Source organism: Homo sapiens, chromosome 7 (assembly GCF_000001405.40).
Source record: "Homo sapiens chromosome 7, GRCh38.p14 Primary Assembly".
Taxonomy (NCBI): Eukaryota; Metazoa; Chordata; class Mammalia; order Primates; family Hominidae; genus Homo; species Homo sapiens.
Genome location: NC_000007.14, coordinates 124,373,474 through 124,384,658, shown reverse-complemented (window position 1 = coordinate 124,384,658; position 11,185 = coordinate 124,373,474). Strand labels below are relative to the sequence as shown.

Here is an 11,185-nt window from a genome sequence, read left to right as displayed (position 1 = left end):
TCCACTTTCAATCTTCTGCATATGACTAGCCAGTTATCACAGCACCATTTATTGAATAAGGAATCATTTCCTCATTGCTTGTTTTTGTCAGGTTTGTTGAAGATCAGATGGTTGTAGGTGTGTGGCCTCATTTCTGGGTCCTTTATTCTATTCCATTGTTCTATGTGTCTGTTCTTGTACCAGTACCATGCTGAATGGGCAAAAGCTGGAAGCATTCCCCTTAAAAGCTGGCACAAGAAGAGGATGTTGAATTTCATCAACATCCCTTCACAATAAAAATACTTTTTCAAGCATTTTGTTGCCTTCATTCTGTGGATAATGATGTATCACCTTCACTATTTGTGTATGTTGAATCATGCTTGCATTTCAGGAGCAAATCCCACTTGGTTATGATGAATGATCTTTTTATTGTTGAATTTGGTTTGCTAGTATTTTTCTGAGTATTTTTGCATCAATGTTCATCAAATATAGTGGCCTTTTTTTTTGTATTTTTGATGTGTCTGTCTCATTTTAGTATCTGGGTAATACTGGCCTCATAGAATGAGTTTGGAAGTATTCCTTCCTTCCCTGTTTTTCAGAACAGTTTCAGTAGGATCGATATTAGTTTTTTAAATTTTTGATGAAATTCAGCAGTGAAGCCATCAGGTCCTGAGCTTTTCTTTGCTGGAAGACTTTTTATTTGATCTCATTACTTGCTATTGGTCTATTCAAGTTTTGAAATTATTCATGGTTCAATGTTTGTAGGTTGTATATGTCTGAGAATTTATCCATTTCCTCTAGATTTTCCAATTTCTTGGCATGTAGTTGTTCATAGTAGCCTCTAATGATCCTTTGGATTTCTGCAGTATTTGTTGTAATGTCTCTTTTTTCATCTCTCGTTTCATTTACTTGGGTCTTCTTTTTTTTTTTCTTAGTTAAGTCTGGCTAAATGTCAATTTTGTTGATGTTTTCAGAAAACAAACTTTTCATGTCATTAATCTTTTGTATTGTTCTCTTCATTTCAATTTTATTTATTTCTACTCTGATCTTTATTATTTCTTTTTTTCTACTAACTTTGGGTTGATTTATTTGCTCTTGCTTTTCTAGTTCTTTAAGATGCATCATTAGGTTGTTTATTTTTAGTACAACTTTTTCTACTTTTTAAATGTAGGTTCTTATACCTATAATTTTTCCTATTAATAACTGCTTCTGCTGTATTACATTGGTTGTGGTATGTTCTGTCCATTGTTTTGTTCCACAAAATTTTTTAATTTCTCCCTTTTTCTCTTCATTGACTCATCAGTCATTCAGGAGCATATTTATAATTTCCATGTGTTTGTATCATTTCCAAAATTCCTCTTGTTATTGATTTCTACTTTTATTTTACTGTAGTTAGAGAACATATTTAATATAATTTATTTTGAGCTTTTTCAGACATGTTTTGTGGCATAATATATGGTCTATTATTGAGAACGATCTATGTGCTTAGGAGAAGAATGTGCATTCTGCAGCTGTTGAATGAAATGTTCTGTAAATATCTGTTAGGTCCATTTAGTCTATGGGCCAGATTAAGTCCAATTTTTTTTGGTTGATTTTCTGTCTGGATGATCTGCCCAATGCTGAAAGTGGAGTGTTGAAATCTCCAGCTATTATTGGAGTCTGTCTCTTTAGTCCTAGTAATATTTGCTTATGTATCTAGGGGCTTTAGTGTGGGGTGCATATATATTTACAGTTGTCATATCCTCTTGCTGAATTGACCCCTTTATCATTACATAATGGCCATCTTTGTCTCTTTTTATAGTTTTCATTTTGAAATCTATTTTGGCTGATATAAATATAGCTATTCCTGCATCTATGTCTGTCTTCATAGGTGAAGTGTTTTTCTTGCAGGCAACAGATCACTGGGTCTTGTAATTTTAGCAATTCAGTCACTCTGTCTTTTCACTGGAGTGTTCAGTTCATTTACATTCAATGTTATTGCTGATACGTAAGGACTTACTCCTACCATTTTGTAATTTGTTTTCTGGTTGCTTTGTTGTCTTCTTTCTTTTCTTCCTTCCTATCTTCCTTTCAGAGAAGGTGATTTTCTCTTGTGGTATGTTTTCATTTCTTGCTTTTTATTTTCTCTGTATCTGTCATAAGTTATTTTGATTTCAGATTGCCATGAGGCTTGCAAACAATATCTTATAACCCATTATTTTAAGCTGATGATAATTTAGCATTGATTGCATAAACAAACAAACAAAGAGAAAACTAATAAAAATTTTATGTTTTAAAATCGTTCCCCTGCTTTTTAACTTTTTTCTATTTATACTTTATTATACTCTCTATATCTCAAAAATTTGTTGTAGTCATTATTTTTATCAGTTCACCTTTCAGTCTTCCTACTCAAAATATATGAGTAGTTCACAAACCACAATTATGGTGTTATCATATTCTGTGTTTTTCTGTGTACTTGCTCTTACCAGTGAGTACTGTACTTTCTGATGAGTTCTAGCCGCTTATTAACATCCTTTGCTTTCAGATTGAAGTGGTCCCTTTAGCATTTCTTGTAGGACAGTTCTGGTGTTGATAAAATCCGTCAGCTTTTGTTTGTCTAGAAAAATATTTATTTTTTTCTTTATGTTTGAAGGATATTTTTGCTGGATATGCTATTCTAGGGTAAACGTTTTTCTTTTTTTTTCCTTCAGCACTTTAAATATGTCATGCCATTCTCTCCTGACCTGTAAGGTTACTGCTGAGAAGTCTACCGTCAGACATATTGGAGCTCCATTTGGTGTAATTTATTTATTTTCTCTTGCTGCTTTTAGGATTCTTTCTTTGTCCTTGAATTTTGAGAGATCATTTAATGTCTTGAGGTAGTCTTATCTGGATTAAATCCACTTGGTGTTCTATAACCTTCTTGTACTTAAATATTAATATCCTTCTTTAGGTTTGTACATTTCTCTGTTATTATCTCTTTGAATAAACTTTCTCTCCCATCTGTCTCTCTATCTCCTCTTTAAGGCAAATACCTTTTAGATTTGTCCTTTTGAGGCTGTTTTCTATATCTTATAGGCATCCTTTATTATTTTTTTATTTTGTCTCCTCTGACTATATATTTTCAAATATCCTGTCTTCAGGCTCACTGATTCTTTCCTCTGCTTCATCAGTTCTGATGTTGAGACTCTGATGTATTATTCTTTATTAAGTCAGTTGCACTTTTCAACTCCATAATTTCTGTTTGATTTTTTTCAATTATTTCAATCTCTTGTTAAACTTTTCCAATAGGATTCTGATTTCTTTCTAACTGTGTTATCTTGAATTTGAATAAGTTTCCTCAAAATAGCTATTTTGAATTTTTTGTCTGAACAGTCACATATCTCTGTCTCTCCTGGACTAGTCACTGGTGTTTTATTCAGTTTTTTTGGTCAGGTCTTGTTTTCCTGGATGGTCTTGATGTTTGCAAATGTTCATTGGTGGCTGGGCATTGAGAAGTTAAGTATTTATTGTAGTCTTTGCACACTGGGCTTGTTTGTACACATCTTTATCAGGAAGAATTTCCCGGTATTTGAAGGACTTGAGTGTTGTGATCTAAGTTTTTGGTCACTGCAGCCATATCCACACTAGTGGACACCCCAAGTCCAGTTACACTGTGGCTCTTGCAGACTCATAGAAGTATTGCCCATGGTGGTCTTAGATAAGATATGGAAGAACTATCTGGATTACCAGTCAGAGACTCTTGTTCTCTTCCCTTACTTTCACCCCCAAATGGAGTCTCTGTCCCTGTGTTGAGCTGCCTGAAGGTGGGGAAGGGGTGACACAAGCTCCCTTGTGGCCACTACCACTATGACTACACTGTGTCAAACCTGAAGCCAGCACAGCACTGGATGTCCCCCATGCCCTGTTGTAACCACTACCTGGCTACCCTCTATGTTCACTCAAGGCTCTGGGGCTCTACAATCAGCAGGTGGTGAAGCCAGCCAGCCTTGTGTCCTTCCCTGCAGGCTTCAAGTTCCCTTCAATCCCAGGTTCATCCAGAGATGCAGTCCAGGAGCCAGAGCTTGGAGGAAGAAAACTTAGGAATCTACTTTGTGCTCTATTCTACTGTGGCCTAGCTGGCACTCAAGTGACAAGATAAAGTGCTTTCCCCCGGTTCCCTTCCTCCACTTTCCACAAGCAGAGGCGTCTTCCCTTATAAGCACCACTACCTCAGGCCCATGGCAAATACTGCCTGGATGCTGCTGATGCTTATTCAAGGTCCAAGGGCTCTTTAGTTAGCTTCTGGTGAATGCTGCCAGGCTTGGGACTGTTACTTCAGGGAAATGGACTTCACTCTGGCCCAGGGCAGGTCCAGCAATGACATCTAAGAACGATGGCCTTGAATTTGTGACCCCAAGAGCCTACTTTGTGCTCTACTCCACTGTGTCTGAACTGGTACCTAAGCTGCAAGATAAAGTCATCTTTATGCTTCCTTCTCCTTTTCTCAAGCAAAAGGAGTCCATCTTACAGCCACCACAGTTGGGTGGAAGCCACCACAGTTGGGAATATGCTTCATCACACTTGAAGCCAGTATGTTTATGAGTCTCACCCAAGACCCACAGCAAGAACTGCCTAGGTACCCACACTGATTATTAAGGACCCAAGGGTTCATTAGTCAGCAGATAATGAATCCTGCCGAAATTAGGTCCATCCTTTCAAGACAGTGGGTGCCCTTCTGGCCCATGGTGTATCTAGAAATGTTGTAAAGGAGTTGGACCTCTGGACTCTGTCTAGTACCCTATTCTACTATGGCTGAGCTGGTATCCCAGTTGCAAGACAAAGTCCTCTTTACCCTCCTCTCTCCTCTTCCCAGGTGGAGAGAAGTGTCTCTCAGTGCCATGGCTGTGCTGCCTGTGGCTGGGGAAGGAGTGGCTGTCGCAGCTGGTGTCTCATTAGGTCGTGTGTTCCTCCAAGTCCATTGGCTCTGAGCTCAGCACAGCACCAGGATTTGCCCAGGAATTGCAGTCTTTGTGGCTTATACTGCCTTTTAAGCTTATTTAGAACTCCAGAGCTGTTTGACCTGTGGTGCTGAGGCTTCCTGGAACTTAGGTTCTGACTGCTGGGATGGGCAATTCCCATCTGGCTAGGGATGGTCTGAATGCTCCCTTCTGGCTACCATCTGAGTTCTGCCCAGTGTATCTTGCTGTTATGACAGAGAAGCAACACTAAGTCCCAATGCAAGGTCCCATGATCACTGTGGTCTCACTCCCCAAAGTGCACAGATTATCTCTCCAGGCCACACAGCCTCTGCTGGGGGTGGGGAGGTATGGTGTCAGCAGTTCATGACTGTGTTTCCTACCCGCTTCAGTGCAGCTTTCAGTGATGTGCAGTGAAAACCAAGTACTGTGATCACTCACCCAGTGTTTTGTTCTTGTGAAAATGTTTTTGTGTGTGGTTGCTCAATTTGGTGTTTTTGAGAGGCAGACGATCAGTGAAAGCTTCTATTTAACCATTTGGCTCCACCTCCACCCCCCTTCCTGGTTTTAATACACTTCTCAGGCTAATTCTAAATGAAAGTTTCTCAGCAAAAGTAGTACTTTGTTCCTAGGGGGTATTGTGGAAATTTATGTTTTTTGGTTGTCACAATGATTAGGGAAGCAACACTTAATTAATGGGAGAATGCCAAAGGTGCTAAATAATGAATAGCACATCATAGTATTTAAAATAAATAAATAGATATAAAAAGATTATCACACACCAGCACCTATACACAACCTTAAAATATCCCACTGAGCTTTAACATATATGTAAAACCTGCTCAGAATTTTGGCCACTTACAATATATCTTTGTTTAACATATAACGCAAAGATTTTCTACATGACTTTAATTAATAGTAAATTTTCTAAGAACAGGAACTCTTTCCAACTTGAAGGAAGATTTTTGGTATTTTGTTTGAAACTTTATTAGGTGTTATTCAATGTGTTGGAAAACCACATTACGAACCACACCACCAATCTATATTTGAGTCACTAATGAAATGTTTACTCTCTCACTCTGTCTTCGTAGCCATCACATTCTGTTAATTTTGTATATCATAAGAGTCTAACTGCTTTGTTGTCTCTTCTTGTGTTGTCATGCCTGAACACTAACATACACACATATATCATTTTGTAATAAATAATTGCTTCTATATTTTTCTATTTTATTATTCTTGTACAATTTTAAAAATTATTCATGCATGTTCATTATATTGTCCATAAGTTTTATTTTAGGAGAGTAAAGCACTACAAAATATTTGTTATATGAGCAGGACATTGGGCCTAATAAGGTCAAGAGTCACTAAATACAATGACAATGGAAGGATTGAACCTTCTTGGAGCTTATGAGGTCAACATTTTGCCCTCACAGTTATGACTTTTCTAACACAGGGATAACCCGGAAAGCTTGTGTTGCATGTGGTGGCTAAGGAGAATAGGAATCTAAGGTATGATTATTGTTAGTCCTGGTAGTTTCTATAGGGAATGTGGATATAAATACAAATTATAAGCTTACAGGGTTGATCTTTCAGCAAGTTAGCAATGGGGGTCTGGTAGTATTGGGAAAAAAATAGAGTGTATTGACAGAAGCACCACAAGCTCTCTGGGTTTCTTATACAGACCTTTTAAGGGCGGTAAGGAGGTAGAGTAAAAGAGCCACAAAAATTATATCTAACGTCTCTTCTGTCGTTTTGTTCATGCTTTATAGTTTTCAGAATTTCCTATTACTGTCTGCTTATTGTTCTTTGTTTGTTTATTATCCATCTAGCTAGCTAGCTAGATGGTTTTGCTGTTAACTTTTCCAGCAATAGTCTCAGTACAAAATATTTTTTAAATTGACGTATCCACTTTTTAAGATATTTTTGTGTTATGTGACTGGAATCACATTTTGAAGGCAAGTCTTAAAAAATCTTTTAAAAGTAGCATGTAGGTGGTATACTTTACAGTCTACATATCAAAGGTGTCTGTTTTCTTTACTCATAAAAGACAACTTAGTAGATATAAAATTCTTAAGATACAAACTTAAAAATACAAGCATTAAGATGTATTTACATGCATCTCCACTGACTTAAGATATGTATTTGGGGAAAAGATGTGTTTGATGGATAATTCTGATTTTATTTAACCTTAGAATTTAATGTTTAATATGAGATGTGCCAGGATGCTTTTGATGAGATTGTCTCGAATGTTCTCAATATTTTTGATATATTTTTACTTCAGAAAAATGTATTTGAATTATATTTTGTTGTTCTTTCCCTATTGCTCAAAAAGTCTACTTTAAACCAATCTATAATGCTGAAGTTGTATTTTCATTTTCCGTTTTTCTCATATCTTATGTTTTCCCTCTTTCTTTTTTTTTTTTTTTTTTTGAGAGAGAGTCTCACTCTGTCACCAAGGCTGGAGTGCAGTGGCAACATGTTAGCTCACTGCAACCTCTATCTCCTGGGTTCAAGTGATTCTAATGCCTCAGACTCCTGAGCAGCTGGGGTTACAGATGTGCACCACCATGCCTGGGTAAGTTTTGTATTTTCAGTGGAGTTGGGGTTTCACCATGTTGGCCAGGCTGGTCTTGAACTCCTGGCCTCATGTTATCCGCTGCCTAGGCCTCCCAAAGTGTTGGGATTACAGGCGTGAGCCACTGTGTCCAGCCAGATCATAAATTTTATCTTTTGAACTTTTCTTCTGCGTTCTAGAACAGCTCCTCAGATCTCATCCTGTTACTCTCCATGTCAATTCTAATTTGTATGTCTCTGATACAGATTTTTAAATTCTGTCATTATGATTTTATTTTCCTTGTCATTCTTATTTATTGTTTCTTTATTGTTATTCTTCTTTATTTACCTTGCATAACTTTATTTCTCATGCTCTTGTCCATTTTTCTCAGCCTTGAGAATTTCTGCCACTATTTAATAAAAAGCTTCATTGTTTTTCATTGGTAACAATCAACAACTTTTCTAAGCTTTCTTTTGAACCCTGAGATCATTATTTCCTGGGGATTGCTTTTTCTCTGATGTTTGATGATACTTTAACTTCTTTGTTTGGGAGCATTCTTCTTTGCTCTTTTTCTTTTTCTGTTGTGTCTTTGGATTTTCCTTACTGCCAAGGTGGTGCTTTCTGGATCCCTCTTTTAGATATATAAAAGCATACATGTAAATAGTTTCTATTTTAATTCCTAATGTCTGGAAAGCTTTCATTTACTACTTGAGATCATTTTCTACACGTTTCCTAGTGCTTTGACACCACAAAAGATACAATACATGAAACTCTTGTTTCCTCAAAACTCACCACTTACAGAGCAACCTCTTGGGTGTCAGGCAGTATGCTACTTCAATTACAACATACTTCTCGCACACTCGTTTTCTGGAAAGAGAGAGAGATGCACAGATGATGAACAGCCCTCTAACTACCCACAGAAACCTTCATCATGCAATAGAAGAAAGGCTGCCAAGTTTTCTATTTCGAACAGTCCTTTTTTCTTTTTCTTATTTAAGAGTCAGACAGTGGCCCAGAGATGATAAAAAGTACATTTCTATGGCCAGGTTTTCTCTATTCTAGACAAAAAATATGAATGGACCACTGAGTGGATATTTCATTTCTATCCAATCAGCCATAATTAGTAAAAATCCTACCACATTTTCACAATAACTTTAATGTCACTCAATGTTATATCACTCAATTTGTCAATGAAATTTTCAATGTAGTAAATTTGCATTTTTTGTTTTTATAGGAAAAGTGTTAAAGCAGTGAATACAGGATATTATTGCACAAATGCCAGAGGTCATAAGGGTCTGGGTACAGGCTGTGGCTATATACCTTTTGTTGTTGAAGATGGGAGATAGTGATTTAGATTTTCACATGCAAACTTTGAGGTCTTATGAAAACCAGCTAAAAGATTAGGCAGTTTGATCTATGTGACTATACCAGAGGAAATGCTGACATTGGAGTTGTGGAGTTAGAAGTTTTGGTGTGTATGTCACATTTAAATCTCTAGGGCTAAGTACAAAAAGCCCGTGACGTACAAATCTTTAATTTATCAAGAAGAAAGTGGAAACAGAAGCAAGAGTAAGTTGTGTGATATAATCTAAGATAAAAGATATCTTCAGAAAGAACATATTTTCAACAAAGTCAAGAGCTGAAGAGAGGTGAAACAAGGATGAACCCGAGAGGGCTGACCTTTTAAAAATCTCAGTAATGTTTTAGAGATGAGTATAAGAGGAGAAGCGGATTCTAAGCCCATAAATCCATAATGCAGTGAACTGATGAGTGAATGAAAAGTGAGGCCATGACTGTTAAATACAATTGCAAAAAATATGTCTTTGATGGAGGAGGACGAATAGGGTAGAAGTTTGTAGGGGAAGGATTGTCAAGAGGCTTTTTTAAAAACATAAAAAAACCTTCACAGTTCATAAAATTGAATTCACCCAAAAGGTTGAAAAGTAAAATAATTGAGTCTATTGTTCTTAAAGTCTGTTTTTCCTATTAAAGGAAACAAAGCCTTTGGCAGAATTAATTTGTTATATTGCAGTGTTTCTGTTATTTAACAATTTAAGTTAAGAGATGCATAGCTGTGGAAATGTATAGTTGGCAAAACAGTGAAGTAGTTTGGAGCATGGACTCAGGAGCTAGAGGGCCTGCATTTGCATCCTGGCTCGGCCACACACTAGCTGTGTGAACACATCTTTCCACCACAAAACTCTGCTAAGCTATCTGCATTTGAAGGGATATACATTGCATTTCTTCCTGTGGCAATGCATGAGCTCTTCCTCCTGCACGATCATCTGCCCCTCATCATCTTCTCTTTATTGGATTATTCATATCAGTGGACAAACATGTTATAAAATCTCCCGTCTACTGAACATAACAAAATGTGACCCCTGCCACAGCACCATTTTTCTGCTTTCTTATACAAAATCCTCAGAGAGTGTTGTCTGTTCCTGCTACTAACATTTCTGTCTCCTGTGTTCTCTCATGAACTTAGCCCTACATGGCTTTGCCTCCACGTCTCTACCCAAATTGATTTTCATTTTTTTATTTGTGAAAAATATAAGGACTCAAACAGAGTAAATTACTCTTTTAAGACAAGAGAAAGATTCTCTGGGTTAGCAAAATGTATTTATTGCTTTAAAAAACACATATAGGGCCAGATGCGGTGGCTCATGCCTGTAATCCCAGCAATTTGGGGCGCCAAAGCAGGCGGATCACTTGAGGTCAGGAGTTCAAACCCAGCCTGGCCAATATGGCGAAACCCCGTCACTACTAAAAATACAAAAATTAGCTGGGCATGGTGGCACGCGTCTATAATCCCACTTACTTGGGAGACTGAGGCAGGAGAATGGCTTGAACTCAGGAGGTGGAGGTTGCAGTGAGCCGAGATCGCATCACTGGACTCCAGCCTGACTGAAAGAGCCAGATTCCATCTCAAACAACAAAAATTAAAAAAAAATAAAAACACATATGAATTAAAAGCAATAGAACCTTGTTCACAAGAATGCAAAATAATATGGCCGTCTTGGAAAACAATTTGGCACTTTCTTATAAAATTATACATATACCTGCCATGTGACCCAGTAATTGCACTTATAGGTATCAAGAAAAATGAAAACACATGAGGCAGACAGAATCCACAATGTCTGCTCCATGAACTTCACCCCTGGAATTCACGTATTTATAGAACTCTTTCCTTAAGTGAAGGCAGAGCCCATGACTGGCTTCTAACCAATGGGACATGGCAAAGGTGACAGGATGTCAATCACTTGTGATTGTGTAACATTATCTAAGACTCCACCCTATTTCTACCCTACTCATGCTAGAGGCTCTCCTTGCTGGCATGATGAAGTAAATGGCCATTTTGGAGAAGCATATTATGCAGCAAGGAACTTCAGGTTCAGCTCCTTAGGATCTAAAGGCAGCCTTTTGTTATTGAACAGCAAGAAGTCAGGGCCCTCAGTTTCAAAACTGCAAAGAAATACTGCTACTCCTTGAGTAAGCTTGGAAACAGATTCTTCCCAAGTTGGGCATAGTAATGAGTACCCAGTTTTGGCCATCACCTTGATTATAGCGTAGCATGGGACCCCCAGCTAAGTCATGCCAGGATTCCTGACCTAGAGAATTTGTGAAATAATAAGTGAGTGCTTTTTACAACTTATACATTTGTGGTAATTTGTTATAAAGCAATCTAAAATGAATGCAACATATACCACTCGGAAAC

The 11,185-nt window shown here is 37.4% G+C and overlaps 1 annotated feature.

Moving 5' to 3' along the window:
* Positions 10,617-10,817: a silencer, noted in NCBI's record as "peak6708 fragment used in MPRA reporter construct". NCBI's record gives its function as "represses an SCP1 promoter by STARR-seq MPRAs in K562 erythroleukemia cells {active_cell/tissue: K562}" and the evidence as "EXISTENCE:reporter gene assay evidence [ECO:0000049][PMID:32103011]".